General features: G+C 48.8%; 1 protein-coding gene across 6 annotated transcripts in view; it reads right to left on the bottom strand.

The window, feature by feature from the left end:
- FGD5 (FYVE, RhoGEF and PH domain containing 5) overlaps positions 1 to 26,298 on the bottom strand; it is a 123,884-nt gene that overhangs the window by 90,861 nt on the left and 6,725 nt on the right. For 4 of the 6 annotated variants that reach the window (XM_011533422.2, XM_011533423.2, XM_047447514.1 and 1 more), the window contains exon 2: positions 22,115 to 24,755. In XM_011533422.2, the coding sequence (XP_011531724.2) occupies positions 22,115 to 24,755 (2,641 nt within the window). Of the gene's footprint in view, positions 1 to 22,114; positions 24,756 to 26,298 lie in introns of those variants that run through there. The other 2 variants (NM_152536.4, NM_001320276.2) reach the window with 1 other exon arrangement.

The following is a 26,298-nucleotide window of genomic DNA, read 5'->3' as shown; positions in this document are numbered from 1 at the left end:
TCCCCCCAAAAAAAAAAAAAAAAAGCACCCTGGGGATGCACAGGTATAGAGCCCAAGCGTCCAGGGTTCCTTCCAGCCAGCAGACTGGTGCCTTGTCCATGGAAACCACTCCCTTGGTGGGGAGGGGCTGGCCGTGACCTTATCAACAGTGAGAGCCCACCTGGCATACCAAGCAGGGCTACCTGGCATCTGGATGGCACACTGCAAGCAACGCCTGCCGCAGAGCCTGGGGTGGACTCAGTGGCCGTCCCTGAGAGAGCGTCTAAAGGGAAGGGGGTGCCCAGCCCCTGATTTCAGGGCTAAGAGGAAAAGACCATGGCAGCAAGGGCATCTGACACAGCACATCAGCCTTGACTTTCCCGAGCTAAAAACCCACTCTTGCCACACGCAGAGGATGCTCTCCAAGCTGCAGAGACCCAGGGGGCTCTCATGCTGTGGATCACAGTGCAATTCCGTTCACTATATATGGAGACCCTGCTATGTGCCAAGTACTGTGCCAAGTTTGGGATGGGGACCCTTCCTTTCATCGAGAGCCACAGCCTAAAAAAGAAAAAGATAAATCAAGCAAAATGTCAAACATGAGAAAATAAGCAACTCAATTTAGATTCTCTTTTTCTTGAAGAAATATCAAGTATTCAACTCTCGGGATTTTAAAATTAAGAACAAGAAATATAAGGCTTCATTTGATAAATATAACAAACACTTAAAAATATACTTCTGTTTTCTATTTCAACAGTGAGGAGGAGGCCCAGCTCAGAGGTCTCATTGCAGCAATCTATCTTAGACAAGGTGACCGCACAGACAGAGGGGCCAGGGTTTGACACCCACCTTTCTGTCCACCCACCACCCACCCATTCTCACACCCAACACACAGTATCCAACAAGCAAGACACTTGCAAGACAGTGAAAGAAGGAGAGAGACAAGTCCCTGCTCCCTAGGAGAATACAGTCTAGCAGGAATTGCAACAGGAAAGCATACACACAGCCACCAACAGGGAAGATGGCAGAGGGTTCCAAAAGCTATCCGAGAAGGACAAGGAAGCTGCTGGGAAAATCCAGACAACATCAGAGCTATCACAACCTGCCCACAGATAGCACAAAGTCTTCCGGGAGAGGGTGTGCCCTGGGGAGGACCTGAACATGCAGAAAGAGTGAAGGGACATCAGGGTACAATGCAAAGCATGGCCAGGGGCATGTCGAGGAGAACAGAGGGAAGCTGAATAATGGGTCCTGACCAGTGTGAGAGGCCTGAGATGGGCTCTGGAACCCTGTCTAGGAGAGTTGGCATTGAGGAAAGGGAGTGTGCACCCTCCCAAGCCTGAGATGCACAGGGGTGGGGATCCGGTGGGGGTTTAGACACCTGCACCAGGTTGGTCTCTGTGACCATGCCTGTGCCTAGGCCCTGGTGATCTGGGAGGAAGCCACACTTAGAAGTTCCTGGTCCCCCAGTAAAGTCACTTCCAGCCACCAGGCAGCTGGCCACATGTTGAGGGAGCAAGGGACGTGGCTGTGGTCCTGAGGTCTGAGGTTTAAGGAGAAGCTCCCCTTGGACTCCTCAGAGGGAAATGGTAGAAGGGCCTGGCTGTGAACGCCACTGAGTTGGTTTGAGGACAACTTGGCATTTCAACATGGGGACGTGTAGTTCTATTTCGCTGGGTCCCAGAAAGCTGCAGCTGCCCAAGCTGGGATGCCTTTTCAGGACAAAAGCACACCCCAGACTTTACTCTCAGGCACAGCGTTGTGCCGAGCAGAGACGGAAGCCAAACATCTGGATCTCGGCAACTGCCTGAGTCCTCGCTGGAAAGAAAGGACTGCAGAGGGCCAGGGCCTGGACCCTGCACCCTGGGAGAGAAGGTGGGGGGCTTCTAAACCCCCAGGAGCAAGCACTCTTGAGGGAGTGAGTGGAAATGTGCAGGAAGCAGGCAGGAGAGGTGTGTTCTGGGGGCAGGAACCCCCCACTCACACTGTCCAGTGACAGGGCTTCCTTTTGCACCCAGATCCCAGCCTGGCAGACTGCTCCAAAGCCCTGCCCCCACCGATGTCCTTTATAGACAGGGGAGAAAGGACAATTGTCAGTGACACCCATGCCCTATAGCTGTGACTTTTCCTGTATCTTTTCTGAAATCTTATCCTTAAAAAAAAAAAAAAAGCCTGATCCTTAAGTCTGTTCATCTCCTTCCTCTCTCCAGTAATCCATTCTGTGTCTCGGAATCTTGAATTATTCATACTGACCCATCTCCACTCATCAATCCTCCATAATTTGATACAAACCAGGACAGGGCAGCATTTAACCCAGCGGCTCCCCATGTTCCTAAGCACATGCCAACCTCATCTGAACAGAGGTGGCTCAGAAATAGTAAATGCTCATCCTGCATGTAACACTTTAAGACGGTAACTCCATCTGTCTTCACTTGTCTTAATCATCTTCACAATGATTCCTCACCACCCCTGGGTGACAGCATAGTTCCCATCTCAGATGGGCCCGGCTGAGCAGGATGGCCAGGCAGCCCCTCTGCAGAGCACTTTGGCAACACACAGCACCTTTCTGACCCTGCCATCTCACCCATGGAAACATACTCAAACGCTGGAAAAGCTTCAGTTACAAATGGGTGCATCTGAGTGTTCTTTACAAAACAGCCAAATATCAGAAGCACTCTAAATACATCATGAAAGGACAGGAGCACACTGATCGGGGGCACAATCATTCAATGGAGTATTTGCAGTCACCTGCTACTGCTGTGTCTGCTGAGCCTACCACCGCCTGGCTGAGAGTAACTTTTATTAATTTAGTAAGTTATTTTAAAATATAGGCATTTATAATACACAGTTAAATAAAATAAGCAAGAGATCTTGTGCACGACAGGACACATCCATGTAACACACACACTATATACACTCACACATGGCAAAAACAAAACACAACCCAATGCTCATCATGATTATGTCACTGTGGTGGGGTTGGTTGGTTGGTTTTTGTTTTTACCTCCAGATATGTTCACAAATGTATGTAAATATGGATAAAGCTACTGATTGAGCCATTTTTAGAGTAGCAGAAGGCTGGAAATAACTCAATATCTACCAATAGGTGACTGGATATTGGAATTCCTTGCAGTCATTAAAAAGAACGGGAGTGGATCTGCCTGTGCTGACAGGGAACAATCTGTAAAGTAACAAAAGCAAGATCCAGAAGAGTATGCTCACTATGCTTCCATTTATGTCTAGAAAAAGTAGAGGGTTGGGGGGAGGGAGATAGAAATATAAATGTAGGCTGGGCGTGGTGGCTCATGCTTGTAATCCCAGCACTTTGGGAGGCCAAGGTGGGCAGATCACTTGAGGTCAGGAGTTCGAGACCAGCCTGGCCAACATGGTGAAACCCCGTCTCTACTAAAAATACAAATATTAGCCTGGCGTGGTGGCACACGCCTGTAATCCCAGCTACTCAGGAGGCTGAGGCAGCAGACTCGCTTGAACCCAGGAGATGGAGGTTGCAGTAAGCTGAGATCGCACCACTGCACACTGTATCCTGGGCAACAGAGCGAGATTCCATCTCAAAAAAAAAAAAAAGAAAGAAACATAAATGTAAATGTGTAAATGTGTGTGTGTGTTACCTGTGCATGTCTGTACATGGATGCAGTAACTAGGCAGGGGGCTGGAGAACCAGGACTCAGTGATGTGAGAATGTGAGATTTGATTTTTCCCTGCAGATCTGAATTTTGGGAGTGCCTGTGGCTTTTTGTAAAACACTGTTTGTTTGTTTGTTTGTTTGTTTGTTTGTTTTTTGAGACAGTCTTGCTCAGTTGCCCAGGCTGGAATGCAGTGGCGCGATCTCGACTGACTGCAAGCTCTGCCTCCCAGGTTCATGCGATTCTCCTGCCTCAGCCTCCTGAGTAGCTGGGACTACAGGTGCCCACCACCACGCCCAGCTAATTTTTTTGTATTTTTAGTAGAGACTGGGTTTCACCATGTTAGCCAGGATGGTCTCGATCTCCTGACCTCGTGATCCACCCGCCTCGGCCTCCCAAAGTGCTGGGATTACAGGTGTGAGCCACTGCGCCTGGCCAACATTCTTAAAAAATGGTTTTGAACCAAAATGGACTGCCAAATTTCTCTCCCTCTGGACTGTCCTAGCAGCACCATTCCCCTCCTCTGTGGCAGAGCTCCGCATTGTTGAGACCTCTGTGCCCCTGTGCTGTGCCCCCGGGGCAGGATCTCTATACACTCAGTAGTTAATCAGATTATCTTGGGGAGGTGAGAGTCATTCCAAAGGGGGAGGGGAAGGTCTGACGACAGTCAAACCTTCTGGGACACCCCCTACCCTCACCAGCTGGCATAGCAGGTTCCAGACCACAAATAGAGCTACTATTTGTACACTGGCTGTGGTCTACGAAACACCCTTCACATAACATGACCTTCACGACAGCTCTGTGAGGCACCCAGCAGCATCTCCACGTTACAGCCGAGGAGGCTGAGGCTCAGGAAGGTTAAATGAATTCCCCCAATTCCTCCCAGGTCAGAAATGACGGGTCAAATGTCCCCAGAAGCCTGTGCATTTCCCACTTCCTAGTGTTGAGAAACAGACAGGAGGTGCTGGAAGCATGTGCTTTTCCTTTCTTGGTGCTAACAAACCCTTTTCAAATCAAACACTACCCTTTCAACCTAGATCCCTTCTGCTGCATTTCAATTAAACTTCCTGTTGTTTCTAACCCACTGGTACAAAGCTGTGCAACTGTGTATTCCTAAGACCCCAAAGACAGGGCCAGAATATAACAGGTGGACTTGTAGCCAGTGAATGCCCACAGAGGTAAGGAGGGGGCAGAGGGGGTAGGAAACTGCTGGTTCTATTGCATTTTCTCCCTATAGTTTTGGGAGAGAGGGATGTGAGGCCCCAGCAATGTCATCTGACTTTGTTTTACCTTCCATTTTCTCCCTGTTTGGACTGGAAGTCTATAACTGGTCCCATTATATTTCAAGAGCAGATAACTTATTTCTTTAGCTTCCCAGGGTCATAGATGGAGAGGAATTATGCCAGAATGGGTCATACCCAGAACCTCACCCAATACTGGATTTAAATAATGGGACTTAGGACTTCTGAGCTGACAAGATTCAAATAAGATTTGTTGAGCTGATGCTGTCACAGGATGAGACCTCTGGGGACCTTGGGATGGACTGAATATATTTTGCATTTGGGATAGACCTGAATCACTGGGGGGTCAGATGGCAGTGGCAGAATCAAAGACTGTAATAGGCAGAATCAAAGCCCTCAAAATGTCCACTCCCTAATCCTGGAAACTACAAATATTCTGCATCATTTAGCAAAAGGGGCTTTGCAGACGTACTTAAGGTTGTGAAGGTTATAACGTGGAGATTACCCTTGGTTATCTGGGTGGGCCCAATCTAATCACACAGGTCCTTAGAAGCAGAGAACTTGCCTGGAGTCAGATTCAGAGCACGAGAAAGAGTCAACTCACAACCCGCCATTACTGGAGAAGTCCATGCAGAAAACAGGGGAAGGAGTGCAGGCTGCAGCCAGGGCAAAGATCAGCCCCGTGACAGCCAACAGGGAAGCAGGGCCCTCAGTCCCACAGGAGTGGACGTCAGCTAGTGACCTGAATGGGCACAGCCTGGAATCTCCCCACAGTCTCTAGATGAGGGCCCAGGCCAGCCCACACCCTGACTTTGGCCTCCTGAGACCCTCAGTAAAGGACCCAGCTGAGCCCACTAGACTGCTGACCCACAGAGCTGGGAGATGAAAAACAGATGTTGTCTTAAGCCACTAAATTTATGGCAAATTGCCATGGCAGCAACGGAAAATAAGTATGTCACGTCAGACTCAGAACAGCCCTACGAAATCACTTAGCTCATCACTTCATTTCTGGGGAAACCGAGGCCCCGAAAAAGAAACACAAGAAAAAGGCTACACAGCAAGAGGCAGAGAGCAAAGAGCCTTTTCTGGGCCAGTTCCACGCTTAGAGACTCAGGGCTCTAAGCCCAAAACCCAACTGTGGAACACCGTGAGCACTTTTGTGGATGAGCATAATCACTGCTGATTCAGAAAGCCTGCAAATACTTCGCAGCCTATCCCCCTCTCCGTGGGAGAAGCAGGATCCACACAGAGCTGGGCTTTATACAAAAACCCGGTAGTCCTCAGGCCAAAGAGTGAGGACAGATGCAGGATTCTGAAAAGCCGCAAAACCTAGAGAAGGCTAGTCCTCCAGCCAATGCCATCCAAATACATCCCCCCCAGCCCCCGCAACCGTTAGCTCTAATTAGCAGGTTCGAAGGAAACTAATTTCTGCCTGTCACCAAGGAATGGTGGATTAGAAGCAACTGGATAATGAATGACTGCTCCGTGAACTGAGCAACCGCCCCTCCTGGGGTTACAGGCAAGCCAAACTCCAGCCTCAAAAGACCTTGTTACACTCACACCTTCCCCTTCTCCAGCCATGGAGACAGCAGCCTCCTATTTAACCTCAAATAGTTTCAGTGAGGGCTGAAAGAGTCAGGGACACGCCAATAAAGATGGCAAGGGCACGCAGGGCCCCAGGCTGGGAGTCTTGGCACCACCGCTGACCAACACTCTCAGCCTCTGTTTTGACTCTCTGCACTTCACACCCTCAAGCTTGGGGCTTGAACTCTCACCTCCTTTCTGTCCCTCCCTGCTGCAGTCTGGTCACTGTGTGTGTGTCCTTGGTCTTGGTGCACCCTAGGTCCCTTATACCCGGGTGCTTCTGTGCATGTGGTCCCCACTGTCCCTTCCATTTGGAATGTCCTTCCTTCCCTTCTTCAGGTCGCAAATTCTTACTCGCCCTTTGAGCCCTGCTCAAATGTCCATGTTAACCCTGCGAGTGCCTCAGGGAGGCCTCTTCTTCAAAGCACGTGGCTGCTCCTTCTGTGCTGCCAGAATATTGCTCACTTTCCTATCATATTTATTTTAATCACATCTCATCAGCAATCGGGGTCTGCCTCTCCCATCTCTCTCCTGGGCCTTTCTGAGGGTGGCCACTTGGTTACTCAAGGAACCAAGTCCCAGCACTTCTCTCTTCCCCTCTTGGCCTCAGGTTTCTCCTCTGTAAATGAGGGGGTTCAGACAGCCTGGGTGGAATCCTGAACCTCCCACCCTCAAGGCTGAGGAACACAGGAGAGCCAGAGAAAACTCAAAAGTCGGGCAAAGGCTGGCAAAGCATGAACTCTCCTCACTCACGGTGCTGCTGAATGCAGACCTCAGGGCCTCCTGGAGTCTGGAGACCATTTGCGTTTGGGGACCAGGCAGGTCTCCTCACCCCAGAGGCTGAGCAGCTGCCTAAGTTCTCTGATGTTGCTAAGCCATTGACTCACTCTGCAGCTCTGAACCCAGCCTTGACCTCTGGCCTCCAGCCGGCAAGCAAACTTGGGCTTGAACCAGGGACCTCCCTGGAAACCAGATGCAGCATCTACAAGGAGCTTCCCGGGCGGGGAGCGTGGCCCAGAACAATCTCTCGCCATATGACATCACCCTTCTCTCTTGTTATCCCTCAGAGCAGGACTGGGGTCATGGCCTGCCACACCCTGACCCAGGTCAGCCCCAGGGTCTCCGTGCTCTCACCACGGCTCCTTGTGCAACATGTGGCATGGAGGCTTCACAGCAGATGCCCCTGGGTTCTACGTCTGACTCTGCCACCTGCCAGCTATGTGATCCTGGACAGCGCTCTGGAGCCTCGAGTTCCTTTCTGCTCTTCATCTCTGCCCCTTCCCTGGTATTTCCCAGACCCTCAGTCTTTCAGAGGCCCCTTTTCCTGCCCTCCTCTGATCCCTTCTTCATATCAGGTACAATCAAAATAACAATTACCAAGAACCTTCGCTGAGAACCTTCTGCAGGCCAGACCCTGCACCAAGCAACTGGCATGGGTTCTTAGCCACTGCACACTTGCCACCACCTGTTATCTCCATTTTACAGTCAAGGAACTGAGAGGCATTCTAGAAAACGGCTCACCCATGGCCTTGCAAGGAAAATAACTGCCTGAATTCTCCCTGTTCTTCTTCAAGTCTTTGCTTAAATTTTGCTGTAACTGGTGTCTTCCCTTTTCCAAAGGGTGCTTACTGGGAGAAAAAAGCTTTGTAAGCTGTAAAGTGCAGTGCACAAGTATGCGGCGGCTACGTTAAGGTTTCACGACCTCCTGAGCTTTCTGGGTTTTGTAGTGCAGCTTTCTTTTCTTTTCTTTTCTTTTTTTTTTTGAGACAGAGTCTCACTCTGTCATCCGGGCTGGAGTGCAGTGGCGTGATCTCGGCTCACTGCAACCTCCACCTCCCAGGTTCAAGCAATTTTTGTGCCTCAGCCTTCCAAGCAGCTGGAACTACAGGCATGCACCACCACACCAGGCTAATTATTTTGTATTTTTAGCAGAGATGGGGCATCACCATGTTGGCCCAGCTGGTCTCAAACTCCTGACCTCAGGTGATCTGTCTGCCTCAGCCTCCCAAAGTACTGGGATTACAGGCGTGAGCCACCTCGCCCTGCCTGTAGTCCAGCTTTCTGACCCGCAGGACAGCCTCCCTGCTCACCTGGCCTCTCTGTGCACACCCACTGTGAGAGTGGCTCGCCATTTCCTAAGGCGGGGGCAACGCTTGCCAGGGGAAAGCACCGCTGGGTCCTTGTGTGTGCCTTGTGGGGCCTGCTCTGGGATTTCGGACTGTCTGTTTGCCTCCTCTGCCATGTGATGTCTCAAAGCCTCAGTTTTCCTGCCTGTAAAATGGGGCTGATGATCCTGGTCTTGCACGGCGGTTGGGAGGATTAATGATATCACATATAATGCAGTGGCAGATCGCGGGGTCTGCTGAAGCTTGCTTCTTTCACCATTTACATTGTTAACTTCATTTCCGTTCTTGTAAAATAGAAGGCAAGGGACAAAATACAACCCAGGAATTTAAGATCCAAAAGCTATTTACCCCTTAAACTGCTTCTTACATGCCCCGCCTGTGGCTTCTCTCCCTCTACAGAACAAAAAATGAACAGGAGCCATTTTCCACCTCCCCTACTGTGTGTGGCACAGGGTTCTGCAAACGTCTGATTAAATTATTGGTAAAAAAGACTTACAAATATGTATACCTGACAGATAGCTCTTATCAAAAGCCCGACTATGTGAGATGACGTAGGGTGTTCAAACTGCATTCCTCAGAAACCCTAGGCTCCTGTGAGTGAGGACTCATGAATGTCTAGTTTGAATCTCATGGATACAGACAGTGCTATAGTGTTAGTAATAACGGCTCCAGTGCAGTGAGCACTTGCAAACTGCCAGGCTCTTACTAAATTCTTTGCAAGCATTAACTCATTCAGTCCTCACAATAACTCCTTGAGGTAGCTATCTAGTGTCATTTCCCCTCTTCTAACAGATGAAGAGACTGAGGCACAGAGAGGTTAGGTAATTTGCCCAAGGACACACAGCTAGTAAGTGGCAGAGCTGGGATTTGAACTCAGCCATCTGACTCTAAGAGAATGCATTCTCCCATAATATACTACTTCACAAAATCATTGCCCCTCAGCAGGCTCTTCGGGCAGCACTGCAATCCGTAACTCCCAATTTTCAAGACTTCTATCCACCATGACAATCTCATTAATTGGCATCCTATTCATTGTTAAAAACTTGAACTTATGAAAAAGAATTACAATAACAGACCCTTGGTTTCTATGTTGGGGTTCCAAGTAAGATTTGAAAAAGTATCCCGCTGCAACAGAAACTGAGAAAACCACCAAGATTAAGCATGGGAGGGAACCCCAAGGAGGACCCCATAACCACCCTTCCCACCCCTTCTACCTGGCCAGGCCCTTGACTCAGGCAGGACTTCACACCCAGGCAGACTTCACACACCAGCACCCAGGGGCTGCTGCCTTCTGAGGCTGCTTGTCGGCAGGTGTGTCTTCCAGCATTTCAGAGGATCTGGATGAAGCGGGCACTCTTCATGAAAGCCCTGCTGCACTGTGCCAGGAGGGGCCTTTTAGAACTGGCCTCAGAGCTGGTACTGGATCTTCCTCTGGTCACCTCGGGCCTCTCCAGCCTTGGGGTCTGGAAACCCTTCAGGGATCATTGAGGCAGTATCTATAGCGGACCACCTGCTTCCTCAGGATGCTATCTGCCAGCCAAAAATGACCCCAAGAGCTCAAACTTCCTGGCCTGTGCAAGCCTCATGTGCTTAATTACTGATCATGATGGGGAGCTCACTACCTTACAAGACTACCCTGCTGGACACATCTCTCAGTGCGAGAAAGTCTCACTGTATCAGAGGAGGTTCCTGAGCAGATTCTGTAAGATAGAATCGTTTAATGTGTGCGTGTGTCGTTTTCTTAATTAAAATCTTACAAGAAAGCCTCAAACTTCAAGTTCTTGGGTTATGCCTTGACCTGGAGATTTTGGGCCCTATCCAGGGCTCTAACCCAACCCTGTGCATGCAGAGAATGGGTCTGTTTACATAGAGACCAGTCACATCATCCCGAAAAACAACCTCAACTCGGAGACACTCATCTTGCCAGAAAACAGCCAAAGATCAGGCCTCTCCAACACAGGGAAACACCACAATTCTTAGATGCAAGCTCGGAATTCCCCGACACATGGCTCAGTGGCTGCCTTCATCTGTGGAAGGCTGGACAGTCTTGGGGCATTCTCAGGAAACGAGATGAAACACATTAATTCGTCGCTCAGAAATTATTATTAGTTTATTGTCCTGCTGACCCTGAGTATTATAAGCACGGATAATAAATTCTCCAAGGGCCAATCCCGAGCATAGCCAGGCAATCTAAGGAAGCGTAAACCTTCTGCATAAGATTGTCCCTTTGTTACTGCAATAGTGTGTGCCGTTCTTTTTCTCTACAGTTTTTCATCATTCCCTGGCCATGTGAACCCAGGCAAATGGACAGTCTCTGTAGGCTGTCCAAGTCTGAACACCTGCATTAAGAAAATTTCCATCCTGAAGTTTCGTACTCTACTGTGTACCCTTATTTGACAGCTGGAGAGTCAGGAAGCTCTCAAAGGGATGAACTAGAAAGAGGCAAGAACCATTCCTATAGACATCCTCCCTCTGGTCCTACCTCCATCATTCTTACTGGCTTAAAAGTCATGCCGCCACTCTGAACCTCAGTTTTCTCTTCTATTAAAAAAATAAAACTGGATAACTATGCCCAAAGGGACGTTCAGCAAATTGCACACAATGAGGCACATAAAGAAGGAACCACACAGCAGAGCTGAGAGCCTGGGTGCTGGAAACTGCCTGGGTTAAAATTCTCGCTCCGTTGCTGACCAGCTGTGTGACCTTAAGTCCTCACCTTAACCTCTTTACACCCTAGTTTTCTGATCTGCTAAGTACAGACAAAAAAACAGCATCTATGTCTCAGGGTGGTTTTTCAGATGAATTGAGTTAACACATACAAACGGTCTGTGACAACACCTGGTGCAGGGAGAGCTCTATGAAGCCTCTTACGTAAAAGTGTCTGTTTGCCTCAGCTCCCAGCAGAAAGTACAAGGTTGACAATATTCTTTTTGAAGACCTGACTCAGCCCTGGTGTCTGCATTATCTCTCAGACTCCTCACGGTGCTCAGTGATGAAGAGACCGTCGCCACCACTTGTACAGGTGAGAAAACCGGGGCTCAGATCAGAGGGCGGGGTCAGGGTGGAGGTAGACTTGAGCTCATTCTCTCTTTTTGCTGTGCCATGCTGCCTCTCTGGTTCTGCCATCTGTGTCCACCAAATATCACTGACCACTCTGAGAACCGTGACACTGGGAAGTTCCAGACTAGCAAGAGCTCTGGTTTATTCTGCACTGAGCCACTGTGTTGCAGCCACAGCTGGAAGGCCACCACACTACACAGGCGAACAAGAAGCTAAGCCTGTTGTCATGTCTTGACCCCTTGATGTTCGGGCACCTTTCTGTAGTGGCTTCTTCACCCCACACAGCTGACAATAATTGTACTAGAGTACTAGCTGATCTTGGCACCTCCCACCCTTTGCTCTAAAACTTTGAATAGCTCCCTACTGCTTACGGATCAAATCAGTTCACCTGGAGGTACAAATCCAAATTCAACACACTCCTTTTCAAGAGCCTTCCCAACCTTATTCCCTCCTACCCTCCCTCTGGTGTGGCTGGGCCAGTCTCCTCTTGGTTCCCTGGACTAGCATGGTCTTCTGGGAAGAGCACTCAGATGGGGGACCTCAGCGCCACTGGTTCCAAACCACTCCAGAGCAGTCATGGGTGGGAGAGCAGCCTGAGACCCAGCCGCTTAAAAATCACACAGCTTGATGAAGACTTGCAATCTAAATCCAAGCCTCTCTACACCCCAAGAACCACTTGGAAGGGCAAATACTCTTAGCTACAGTTTTGAACTACTTGCTGATCCTACCCTAAACATACAAGTCCAGAGAAATGATCTGAAGTGCTTAGATAATTCAAGTATCTTTGGATCGTAACACTTCTCTCCAATGGCATCTCTTTCAAGTAAAATCCAAATCTTTCACAAGGTCCCTGCCTACCCGACTTCCCATCGCCTTCTGCACTCCACCCACACTGGCCTCCTTACCTCTCTACGAACCCCACAAAGGCCTCCAGCCTCAGCACAAAGGGCCTTTGCTCCTGCTATTCCCTCTGCCTCGGATGCCCTTCCCCTTGGGATGTCTGATCATCCTTCACGTTTCACTCAAGTTCACCTCTTCAGAGAAGCCTTCCCTGATCACCCTGTCTAAAGTGTGTCTTCCACCAGTCACTTTGTATCACATTGATTTTTTTATTCTTCTTTTCCATAAACTATAATTATCGTGTTCACTTACTAGTCTGTTTACTGTCTGCCTCTCCCCAGCACAAGGAGTCTGTTCACTGCTGTATGTGGAGCTCAGAGAGCAGCACCCGGCTCAGAATAGGTACCTGATACACATCTGTCCTCAAGGAATGCATGGACTACCAACACAACTCTCCTCTTTGGCTGCATGCTATGCCTGACAGCCTCATCCCCATTTGAAAAGCTGGGGAAAGTGAGGCCCAAATACCTCAAGGAAATCCAGACTCAAGCTGGAACAAAGACTTCACTCCTCTTCTGGGGCTCAGCTGGTCAAGGAGACCTGCTGCTGACATTTCACCGAAGAACTCCAACAATAAGACTCTCTTCTATTAGCGAGAATTATATTCACACCTCCTACGGGGAGAAACCCTGATTTTATGAAGGTAAAACCACATTGTGATTAACACTTAATCAGGATCTTATCTACATTACAGCTCTGCAAGGTAAAAAAAATAGTTGGGGGTCTTAATATCATGCTAGTAATGTTACAATGAGTGCGTTCCTGACACGATTTTCTTATTAGGGTCCTTCCCTGTAAATTTTATTGCATTTAATTAAAAATTATTGCTAAAAGAAACAGCTGCAGATGGTCTTATTTTAAGTCAGAAAATTAAAAACTGAGTATTCTCATCAGTCAATTTCAACAAGAAGCACAGCCACATGCATTAGGATGTGATGGTTTTGAGATTATAATAATTTTCATGGCATTTCTAGGTCCTTTCAATGAAACTTAATGAAAGCTCTGCATGAGTTCATTTGTCAAAAACATAATAACAGGAAGGCTCCTGGCTTACAGGCAGATATAAAGATACCAGTGAATACCACAGCTAGGATATGCCAAAAATCCAGCCACGCGGCTCTCAGCACCAATGGAACCAGTCAGCAGGAGGCTTAGCTGCAACTCTGTCACATTCCCACCGAGCATTGATAGCTGAGGCTGTAAATCACCTTGGTTTTACAAGGATGTGTTATTTGTTGCTGCAGCGCTGTCTACGGTAGTAAAAAAAATACATAAAAGTCAGGTTTCACTCTCTTAGAGAATCACTTCAGCAAAATATTTATGCATTCTAAGGAATCTGGGGGTGCACTGACAGGTGGGGAGGAGGAAGGAGGGGATGCTTATGCTAGATTTTGCGCTAGATTCCAGAACTGCAATGGCAGTCGCTATTCTCGGTCTGGATGGCCCATACAATGACCTCCCCCCAACTTCATTACTCGGCTTGTCTCCTTTACTCTTAAAGACTGAATTCCTATTATTTCTTGCTATGTCTTTTACTGGAAACCAACTCAAATCTTTTATTTGGGACCAGACTGTAAAAGACAAAAGAATGAAAAGAGAAATGCAAAGGCAGATGCAATCTAGCCCTGGAGTTCATCAACGCTGGAGAACTAGGGTTGCTGTGTACATCCTGGTGGCAGAACACCACTCCTCCCCTGGCTGCAGCCACAGCCCCAGGTTGGTCATCCTCTCTTAAGGGGACCACTACAACCATCTCTTCACGAATCTCCCAGCTTCCCATCCCTCCATCCCCTCCGTTCTCCACCTGCCAGCAAAGTATCCATGCAATGCACCACCCACACGACGGCGTTCCCCTGCTGAAAATCACTATGGACTCCCCCCTGCCCAGGGGATGGCGTACACACTTGTCACACTGATATACAAGGCGTTCTCAACTGGGCCCACCCTGCCTTCCCAACTCCATGCACCTAAGCTCCAGCTGAACACTCCAAGATCCTTTCGACTCTCCAGACTCAAGCGCAGGCTTTTTCTCTTCCTGGACTGTCTCCATCATGAACTCCTGCTCCCCATCAAGACCCACCTTGGCCGGGCGCAGTGGCTCACACCTGTAATCCCAACATTTTGGGAGGCCGAGGCAGGTGGATCACCAGAGGTCAGGAGTTCAAGACCAGCCTGGCCAATATAGTGAAACCCCATCCCTACTAAAAATACAAAAATTAGCCAGGCAAGGTCATGAGTGCCTGTAATCCCCTGCTTGAACCTGGGAGGCAGAGGTTGCAGTGAGTCAAGATCATGCCATTGCACTCCAGCACAGGCAACAGAATGAGGCTCCATCTCAAAAAAAAAAAAAAAAAAAGAGACCCACCTCAAATGTCCTACAGATACTGAAGGCTCCCCTACTGCCCACTCCATAGCCAACTGGATATACCACTAACCAAGCTTTATCACTTTATCACCCTAGGCTCTAATTGCCTCTCTATCCATCTTTCTCCTCAGCCAGCCTAAAAACTCCAGAGGGCAGGGATTTGAGTACCTCTACTACCTAGAACAGCACAGACAACCAGCAGATACTCCGGGAACGCTAGCGGACTGAGTGAGGGAACTGGCTAGGCTCACTCACAATGTCCTACTGTTACACTCAGAAATGAGAGAGAGATGGTATTTGTGTTTAGTCCTCAAGCCTTTCAACCCCATCTCCTCCATATAATCCTCCTCCCTGTCTGCAGATGATGTGACCTATTTTCCAGAATAAAGGTATTGAGGTACCTTCTGAATGAAGGAAGACATTTTCATTGGAGTCTTATTTCTTGTACGTTCTCTCCTCTTTCTCCTGCCTCCATGTCAAAAGCCTACTTTTCCTGCAATGTCTACTCAAGTGCCACTTTGTCCATGAAGACATCCTGCCCGCCTCTGGACTCCTACTCTTTGGGTCCTGGGCCTTTTCTACCTTGCATTTCAGTGACTTGGGTCTAAGTCCTCTTCCTACCCCCAGACTCTCAGTCCACTGAGGCCAGCAGTGGTACCTGGTCCCCCTCTCTCTCCTTCCACACATCACTCCATGCAATCCTTGCCCAAAATGAGTCATTTCACAAACAACCATCACCAGTTAGCCAACACATTCACTCTCCTGGGTCTTCCTGCTCCCTCTCCTCATACGCATGCTGCACAACGTGGCCCAAACACAAACTCCTGGGCATGTAATTCGAGCTGCATTTCAACCATAAGCAGCTCTGTAACAACCCTGGGCTGGCGGAGCAGAATCCTTAACTGCTCTGTCTGCAATGCACAAGCACTCATGAGCTGCTGCCCCGGGCGGGTAGAATCTTCTGAGGTTCTCCTAATGAGCATTCCATTCCAAACAGACGGCATGCTCCAAACCGAGAACTTCTGGTTGCTCCTCAGGCACAGCTGGCCACACAAGGGCAGGGGTACCCACTGTGGCCTGCAGGAGGGAAAGACATCTGAGTACCTCATTAGCAAGTTCCAGGAAAGCTCGTCTTATTGATGAGTTGCCAACAGAGCGACAAACCCACCAGCCAGCAGAAAAGAAAGGTGTCCTTTCACTTTTCCTTGAGTCTCCTGGACCAATAAGCAATGTTAACACTTTGGGGGTGGCTGTGCCACCCTGTCTCTTGCAAGCAGGACACTCAACAGGTTTGGATTAAGAATACCAGAAAACATCCTGGCTAATATGGTGAAACCCAGTCTCTACTAAAAAATACAAAAAATTAGCCACCCATGGTGGCGGGCGCCTCAGCTACTCGGGAGGCTGAGGCAGGAGAATGGCATGAACCTGGGAGGCGGAGCTTGCAGTGAGCCGAGATCGCGCCACTGCACTCCAGCCTGGGCAACAGAGCGAGACTCCGTCTCAAAAAAAAAAAAAAAAAAAAAAAAAGAATACCAGAAATGTGGCAATTTGCGACCACAGAAAACAGGTAGTAGTGGAAACAGCATTGGATTGAAAGTCAGACAGACTTGGGTTCTGACCTTGGTTTGGCCACTTATCATCCATGTGACAGAAGAGAGTTCATGTCATGTCACCAAGCCTGTTTTCTCACCTGGAAAATGGGAGCTGGAAATTCCTACCTAACTAACTGTAAGTTATAAATGAAATAACAAATACAGTCATAATAATAGAGACAGGCAGTTTTATTATGATTATGGAATCATAAAACCCCTAGTCTTGCTGTCTTTGGTGTACGAGGCAGCTAATGACTCCAAATCAATATTGCTCAGATGTTGCCTGCAGCCCTGAACCCATCTCATGGGAAGTCAGAGGTACAGTTCATGCCACATCCTATGGCAAAAGCTTGCAAATTCATGATCCTGGTTTTACTGATGTGATGTAAAGCCCTAAACGTTAAGTCAAACCCATGCAGAACAGTCGTTGTGTGTGTGTGTGTGAGAGAGACAGACAGACAGACAGAAATACACAGCAAGAGGAACGAGATTCTCCCTCCCAGGTTCCATGCCTCAGGAATCAAATTCAAATCCTGCATCCACCACTATGTGACCTCGGTCATGTCACTTAATAACAGCTAATGCTTACTGATCATTTTACCATGTACCGTATTAACTCCTGTAGTCTTAATGACATTCCAAGGCAGGTACAATGATCGTCTCCTTTTACAGATAAGGACACTGAGGTACAGAGAGGTCAGAAACTTGTTCTAGGTCACATAGACAATAAGTGTAGACCAATACCCAGGCAGCTTGGCTCCAAAGCCTATGAGCTTAGCTGTGGTGCTTTCACAGGCTCTCCTCGGGCCACGGTGTCCTCATCTGTAAACAGAAAAAGCTACCATAAATGTGTCAAGAACAACATGCACTAATGGATGAGGGCAGTGGGGAGAGGGGCAGAGGAGAAGAGGGGAAGAAGAGGAGAGGGAGAGAGGGAGAAAGGGAGGGAGAGGAAGAAAGAGAGAGCGAGTGAGAGAGAGAGAAAGCCAGTGCAGCAACATGTGCACGGTATAATCTGGGTGCTGGGCACATGGGTGTTCACACTAAAACTCTTAACTTTTTGAACATTTTCATAACAAAATGTTGGGGAAAAGTGGCCTCAGGGATCTGTGCTGATGTATAATGCTGACTGCTATCATGCAAAACACAAACATATGATGATGAAGATTTAAATGAGATATTTAGGACAAGTGAGTCTGTGTCATGTTTTGCATAAAACAGGTATGTAATAACTGTATACAAAGCATCCAGCACTGTGTTGCTAAAAACAGGTATTTAATAAATGATATTTCTTTCCCCTTGTGAAGCTCAAAATCACCAACTCATCAGTATACATTTATTAAGCTTCTAGTGTGTAACCAACATATCAGGGTGCTATAGGATATTCGGAGGTGAAGACTGGGTTCCCCACGCCAAGACTACTGGTCAGTGACTTAGGACATAAGACAGCCTATCTGGAAACTAAGGGTGTTGGACTAGATCTCTGCTGAAAACTTTTTTTTTTTAAGTGAGCATCAATTCAGGGAACAAAGAATGCTTCAGGGATACATTTCATTTCATTTTTCTTTTGAATCAGGGTCTGCTCTGTCAGCCAGGCTGGAGTGCAGTGGCATGATGACAGCTCAATGCAGCCTGAAATTCCTAGCTCAAGTGATCCTCCCGCCTCAACCTCCTGAGCAGCTGGGACTACAGGTGCGTACCACAATGCCCGGCTATTTATACACGTGTGCGTGTGTACATATATATATATATATGTAGAGATGGGAGTGTATATGTAGAGATGGGAGTCTCACTATGTTGTCTAGGCTGGTCTCAAACTTCTGGCTTCAAGTGATCCTCCTGCCTTGGCCTCCCAAAGCACTGGGATTACAAGCGTAAGCCACTGCACTCAGCCCAGGTATACATTTTAAACTAAAGAATGATAAAACCTTCTTTTGTATACCATTGAAAAAAATGGACATAGGTAATAAATTTATAAAAGACTGTTAACAGTATTACTATAGCTACTAACATGCTACTATCTATGCAAATCTCAAAGGAAGTAACTACACAGAAGAAACTTTACAATCATCCATTAGACCCTGAGCTGCTACTCACCCAGTTTCAGGGTCGCTAAGGGCTCTCTGAATTCTATTATATGCTGTTTCTTGAAGGGAGATACTTTTAGCAGAAAAAGGGCTTGGATTTTAAATAACACTGAATCACTTCCCTTCTTAGTCCTTTTGGATTCTTCTGGTTTTGCCAGGTAGAAAGTCTCTGTGTGGTGCAAGCATGTCTTTAACACCTCTCCCTGTTTAACAAAGAGATCAGGCTTCCAGCTCCTAGCCTTGGCAAGGAATCACCTCAAGCTAGTCTTTACCCATGTTGTTTTACCGTTCTATCTTATTTTTACAATTGCCTTCTATTTACGGCAACTGATACTGTTTTTCCATTTCCCAATAGTGAGAAAAAGTTTCCATTACATTTTTCTAAATAAAAAAGATGGGCTGATTTAAAGAAAAGTAATGAGTCAAAGTATAGGCAGTATAATGGAAATGGTAAATGAAGTCCAGGAAAGGTGAATGGTTGAGAAATACACAACTGCTCCAACCTTACCATTTTACAGATGAGCAAACTGCGGCCCAGCCTCTTCCAAGGTCCCATAACAAGTGTTGGGACCTTAGGCTTTGAATCCATGTCTGGAGCACTGACCTGCCCTTCAGTCAGGGCTATGGGTATTTATTTTGGCTTCTGCCTCTAATCCTCACACTATAGCAAGGTATGGGGCAGGACAAGTAGCAGGCGGAGGAAGGAACTGCCTCCCCACCCTCTCATCCCGTCCAACCCCAAGCACCCCTAGGCAGAGGTCTCAGATCAGCAGCATCCCCTCCACTCTGTACTCAAAGCCCCTATTCAGGCAAACAAGCAGGGTCCCCCAGCCCCACGGCAGTCACTCATGCCTCTTGGCGATATGCGTCTCAAACCTCCCTTGCCCAGACCTGCTCCAGCCCAAAGTGGGGATTTTTCTCCCCCTTTGCTTTCATCTGTTTCATGTAGGAAAGCGGAAGAAAGCTTTGCTCACTGACTGATGTCCAAGAGGATGTGGTTCCTGTATGGGAGATTTATTCCAGTCAGTCTGGCCTTTGGCGAAATAGCATCAGAGTGGTGCAACCGTGCTTTTGAAATTCAGTCTGACAGTTCAAGACACTCAACCAAGGCCCTAGGCTGTAGCATCAAACGTGAGCTAATGCAAAGAAAGCACCTAGCACAGTGCTTGGCACGCAGTAAACAGTCACGATCCAGGAGCTTTAGCGTTGTCTTAGATATTTTATTCCCTATTGTCATAACTGTCCGGATGAAAAGTCCTTTTTGTTTGGTTTTTTTGCACAAAGTACAGATCAAGGCAACAGGTCCTTCACATATAGCCAAGCAGCCTGTGCACTGCACACCCCAGGTGGCACCATACATAGATGAAAGGTGAAGGACTTGCTCTTGTGATTGTACAATGCGCAGCCTGCACAACCAGACCTGGCATCCCCTCACATAATTCACTACAAATTCCTGATCCAGAAGTCAAGAAGTCTGGGTTTGGACACTGATTTCTCCAGTAACTTACTGAGAGATCTTACGCAAGTGCCTTTTCCTCTCTGTGTCACAGTTTCCTCTTCTGTAACAGGACTTGTGTCTGAAGTTTCCTCCAGCTATAAAACTCTGTGATTCTACAGAGGCAGATTTCAATTTTTGAAGGGCTATTGTAAAAAAGATGAAATAAGCTCCCTCACCTGGCTTGAGAGAGAAGAACCATGAGTAGGGGAGGGATATTAGAGGGGAACAGTATATGCCTCAGTCACAGAGAAACTCTTCCTCATGATCAGAGTACCCAGCACCCGATGAGGCAGCTCTGGGAGTGACGGGTTCCCTGTGGCTGGAGGATTTCAAGTACACTGGGTAAGCACCTGTTAGAGGTGGGCGGTCTCTGACCAGCACGGAGAGTTTATTGTTGTAAAGCTTGGTTCTGCTTTCCTCAGTGCTAGGAGGCACTCAGCTGGGGGATGGGTCTTGTCCACCCCTGCCGATTGTTATTAATGTAATGAACTTGCTGACTCTGCCTCTCTACCCCTCTTGCAGCTCGCACGAGTCCACATTCTCCAAACTAAACTCAGTCCCTCGGGCTGTGCTGGTGTTTACCTTTGCTCTGGCAAACAGATCTTCTCATCTTAGAAAGAACTAATAAATAAATCGCCTTACCCAGACTTGGGATAGTGAGAAGATGGAGCCAGGATGGCGAACCATGCAAAATACTCAAGAGAATTATCCATGCAAACACTTCCTAGCAGCTCTACTCCAACAACAGCTAATGCTAATTGCAAATCATCCTTATCTAGTCAAGACTGCGGGTCCCCTAGGAATTCCTAGCAGCAACAGCTGAGTAGGACTGGTTTAAGTTTCTGCACATGAGGGAAAAGAATCAGAGGGTTTCTTTTAAAATCACAACCACTTTTGTTTCTCGTTAATTCAGATCAGGTGCCCCCAAACAATGAGGATGGTTCAGGGCAAACTGCATCACCTTTAAGTTGTGTCCACAATTCCATAAGGAATGGCAAGATTTGGCAATTATCCACTCGGGATGATCAATGAGGGGCATTCAGAGTCTTGGGAAGGTGAGGTCAGAACACCCCCACTGCTGTTCAATAACTTCAGTGTCTCACTCTCACTTCCAAAGTGAATCAATTAAAAAAAAAAAAAAACAAGCTTGGATGTAGCTCTTAAAGACTTCCATTCAGTAATTTAGCTCAGGGCACCATCAGCTCTTTAAACAATTTAAATAGTCTTTTCTAGTTCCCTGTTGAATACAGTGTATATTTACTCAATAAAAAGGTGCCAATCTCAATTTAGGGTATTTTCCTGATGTGAAAGATATTTAGTTTGGCAAGATTCCAGAACCTTCTGTCTTGGTGACTGTCTCAGAGGCGAGTAGCAAAGCCATCTACCTAGGAGATAACGAGAACTGTCTCCCAAATAATGTAAACAAAAATGCTTTCACATGTACCGTATTTGGCATCTTATACACTGCTTTCACACAGAATATCTACTCTGATTTTCTTTTTTCTTTTTCTTTTCTTTTTTTTTTATTTTTTTTAGACAGAGTCTCGCTCTATTGCCAGGTTGGAGTACAGTTGCGTGATCTCAGCTCACTGCAACCTCCGCCTCCCGAGTTCAAGCAATTCTCCTGCCTCAGCCTCCCGAGCAGCTGGGATTACAGGTGCATGCCACCATGCCCAGCTAATTTTTGTATTTTTAGTAGAGACGGGGTTTCACCATGTTGACCAGGATGGTCTCGATCTCTTGACCTTGTGACCTGCCCGCCTCGGCCTCCCAAAGTGCTGGGATTACAGGCATGAGCCACTGCGCCCGGCCTTACTCTGATTTTCTTAAACTCTCTACCATGAGGTAGCATGAGTCCCATTTCACGGATGAAGTAACCGAGGCTCAGAGATATAAAGCCACTCACCCCAAGTCAACACAGCTAGTAAGAAACAGAGCCTGAGGCTGGAAAGCAAGTCCATCTGTCCCCCACACCCACGCTGCCTCCTGGACAGTTACAGCTGCCGAACAAGAAAGGAAATAGAATGTCAGGTACCTTTCTGCGTCCTGGTCTGCACTCTGCTGTTTGCTCTCAAAGGCGTTGAAGCTGCTCATGTCCACGTAGCCATCATTTTCGTTTGCTGTGGACAGGGCTCTGCTCTGATCTTCAAACAGCTTCGTGAACGCGCCAGCCCTGGCAGGTCTCCGGGGTGGAATCTGGATATTCTCATAGTCCGAGTTCATGGCTGGAATGTTCTCATAGTCTGAAGTGTCAGCGCTGGGGAAGGAGATGGACCGTGGCTTGGTCAGTGGCAAGGGCAGGAAGGGCGGCCGGGAGCGGTCTTCAAAGGACTCCACTCTGGACACCGTCCTGCTGAAGGGGACACCTTTCCTCTTGCCATCTCTATAAAAGATGAGGGAGGAGGGGGATTCAGAAGCCCGGAGCTTCCCAGTCCGAGACTTAAGCTGAGGGGAGTTGCTGAGGCTTCTCCGGTCAACTTCCAGAATCCTGGAAGGCCCGTGGTAGCTGGACTCTGAAGAGGACCTAGAGGAAGACACGTTCACATCCACATGCAATTTGTTCTCCGTCTTCTTCTTAAACGTCAGTGCCAGGAAGCGCTTAAAGGATGACTTCTTCTTCTTGTACTTGTCCGGGGAGTCGCTCTCGATCAGGAGTGAGGGAGAGCTCTTTGTGATGGGCTTCTTGGTGATGCAGGCCAGGTCGAAAGGAGGTGGGATGTCGACCATGGAAGAAGGCGTGGAGGTGCCGCTGGACGGAAGGTGGTTTCTCTGGGAGAAACTCCCAGAGGAGCCAATTACACACGACAGAGAGAGATTGTCCTCTTTCCTCTTTATCCTGTGGTCATCCAACCCTGACCCCTCAGGCTCCTGGTACACGGACACTGGAATCTCTCGGCCTTCCACGGAGAACGACCGAGGGTATAAAGTAAAGGCCCTGGGCTTTGCTGGCAAGGCCCTGCTGGCTTCCAAGGGCTTCCCCTCCAATGACAAAAGCGTCTTTCCCACCTCCTCTGCGGCACCTCCAATGCCAGGGGCTGACGAGCCCGCCTCAGGTCCGGTTTCTTCAGGGACGGTTTCTGGGACATAGCCGGCCACCTTCCCAGAGTGGGGCCGGACCCTCGTGCTGGTGTTCTTCCTGTCCGCGGGAACCAGGCCACCCTCTGCCTCACAGTTCAATTCTTCTTTCGAGCCATAACCACCCAGGGCGTCCGATGCAGCCTGCCCTCCTTCTCCAGGGGCCGCCTGACCGGGCAGGCCCACTCCCATCACATAGGGGTTGGCCAGTGCATCATCCAAGGCCTCCTCCTCCAGCACGACCACCACATCAGGGGCTGCGGGACCCTCGGCCGCTCCACCCTGTAGGGAGCCACACTGGCCACACAAAGCCCCCACCATGGGGTTCTCCTCCGCACGCAGCCCCAGCTTTGGTGCCTGCTCTGATTCTAAACCTTTCGCTGATTCAGAAAGAGGAGAACAGCTCTCGCTGCAAAAAGAGGTGCTCTCAGTTGGGAAGAACTCATAGGGGCTTCCTGTGAGGGAAGTCACGAAGTCCTCCATGCAGTCATTCTCAAAAGGGACAATCTGGCAGCTCTCCTCGGCGGACTCATCCTGTGCATGGTCCTCCAGGGTGGCGGCTGCCACTTCTTGGTTGGTTTTCTTCTCGTGGTCAGGTGGTTCACTGAGGTCAACCTGTTCCCCACCTGTGACACCCGTGGCCTCTTCACATCCCTCCTCAAGAACTTCAGGGCAGTCTGTGGCTGTCTCTGCCTCCTGGACCCCGGCCAGCTCCTCCTTCTCAGGGGGCTCCTCACTGGTGTCCTCAGCATCCTGTCCCATGTCCTCCGTGGGCCTGTCAGGACCCGAACCCTCATCTGCCCCTGCTGGGTCTGTGCTGGCACAGCCTTCCTCATCATCCTCCTCTGCCTCCCCGGGGGTGTCGGGGGGCTCCTGGTCCTCTCCATGGATGTGAGGCAGGAGGAGGTCGCTCTGGAAGACCCCCTCTCCAGCCCAAGGCCCACTGTCCTCCAGGCTGCACTCCCTGTGTGGCTGCACTAGCTTCTCTTCCTCCTCACTTCTGGACACCTGCTCCAGTGTCCCTGGCTCATCAGCGCAGCCCTCCCCTTCATCCTCAAGAGCAAGGTCTGTGCCTTCCTCACCCTCCCTGCTCAGCGCTCCTGCACCCGGAGCAGCAGGGGCCACTGAATCCTCACCAGCTCCTGTACCCTCCAGGCCACATGCCTCGCCTCCCTCTTCACGCTCCTCTTCCTCTTCCGCAGAGGACTCGGGAGACACCAGGGCTTTGTTCCCCACACTGCCCTCGTCCTTGGGTTCATCCTCCCTCAGCGGAACCCTGGGGACCACGATGTAATCCTCGTCGGTCTCCGACTCAGAGCACTTTGGGATGGACCGGGGCCCCTCATCAAGCCCCCTGTCTACACAGGGCAGCCGCCCGTTGCTGCATTTGTTCAAGCTGTCATTCAGGTACACACTGGCTCTCCACTCGTTTGGGGCAGTCAGCCTGGGCTTGGGGGCAATGGGGGGCTTCGGACCCCTGAACATGGAGTTTGGACTGTGAAGACTCTCGGGCCTGGCTGAGGAAGGGAATTTGGGCGCGGTCACTGGCGTCAGTGGACTGGTAGTCTTTGGCTTGGGAGCGACAGGTGGTTTTGGTGAATCTAGATGACAAAAATAGAGAAAAGGAGAAAAAGTACAATTAACTTTATTGCCATTCAGAGTCTCCTACACACCAGTTGCAGGGGACGCCACAGATGGTTCCGTCCATCCATGTGAAGCCCACCTCCCGTGCTTTGTCTTAGGCTTATGCCCTCCACCAGAATCTTTAAAACCCCTTGATTTTCCACTAAAGATTCATTCTGTAAACAAAGTGAACAGACCTTTCTTCTACACGCAGCCCAACTAACGAAAATCAACCAAATGAAATCCTGTGCTCCTCAAATGAAGTGTCCAGGTCAGTGCATTCATTCATCCAGCAGCTACTGATAAACACTTTCTATGACCCAGCAACCATGGGAAAAGGCTGAACTTGCTGTCACCCTCCCTGCTGCCCTCATGGAGCTTACATCCCCCCTTCTACAGCTACTCCATTGGGTACCCACTAGCTACACGCACAGCACTGCAGATGGCAGGGTCTCCTAGGGTCAAGAAGAGAAAACAGACTCTGCTGAGAACTCACAGTTGAGTTACAACAACTGGAGGGTAGAGCCGGGGACCCTTGGAATATTATGACTGAATAGCTGCCATTTCATCCCTTCATGAATGACACGCCAAAGGTTTGAAAGAGTGATGTGTGCTTCTGCTGGGGGTCACGTCTGGAATCTGCATGCTTCAGGACTGTGTCCAGCCAGGCCTACACCCAAATTTCATGGGCATGCAAATTTCATGGGAGAAATTATATAGTACGTGCCAACATGGATCTCTGGAAAAGGATGTACTTGCCACATGGATATCTGTGGATGCTGAGGACCTTCTGACCATGGCAGAATAAAAGATGTGGTGCAGACTACAATGCAACTGGAATTAGAGAAGCATGGGCTGCTGTGGCCAGGGAAGACCTCTTAAAGAAGGTGATATTTTAGCTAAGATTTGCAGGATAAGAAGGATCTAGAGAAGGGGAACGGTCAAATGAGTGGTTGCCAACTTTTGAGCTCAGCATCTCTCTGCTACAAGACTGCCCATGCCTCCTCCCTGGCTTCCTTGTCACCTGCCTGGCCCCCTAAGCTCCCTTGCATACTGCGGGCATAGAATCCATCTCCATCCCAACATCTCTGCTTCAAAAGTACTGCATGGATCCCTGCCACCCATAGATTAGGACTCCCACGTTTCTCCTTCAGCCTGGTCTAATCTCCCAGCTCCATTCCCACTAAGGCTTGGGTATGACACAAGTGGCCTCAAAATAACAGCCTGGCTCCTAACAGGAGGGAAGATGAAGCAGACTGCCGGGAGATCTCTGCCAGCAAACTCTTCTCTTCCCACTCATGTTAGGCCCAGTGTTGTCCCTGAAACATCTAACATTACTAATCTCTAATCCAGGGCTGTCCCTGGAATGTGAGCCACATGTATCACTACATAGGCAATTTTAAATTATCTTGTAGGCACATTAAAAATAAATAGGTAAGGCTGGGTGCAGTGGCTCACACATGTAATCCCAGCACTTTCAGAAGCTAAGGTGGGCAGATCACTTGAGGTCAGGAGTTCGAG

This window comes from Homo sapiens, chromosome 3, assembly GCF_000001405.40.
Source record: "Homo sapiens chromosome 3, GRCh38.p14 Primary Assembly".
In the NCBI taxonomy this organism is placed as follows: Eukaryota; Metazoa; Chordata; class Mammalia; order Primates; family Hominidae; genus Homo; species Homo sapiens.
The sequence above is the reverse complement of the archived record's forward strand: the minus strand, read 5'-3'. Positions and strand labels throughout refer to the sequence as shown.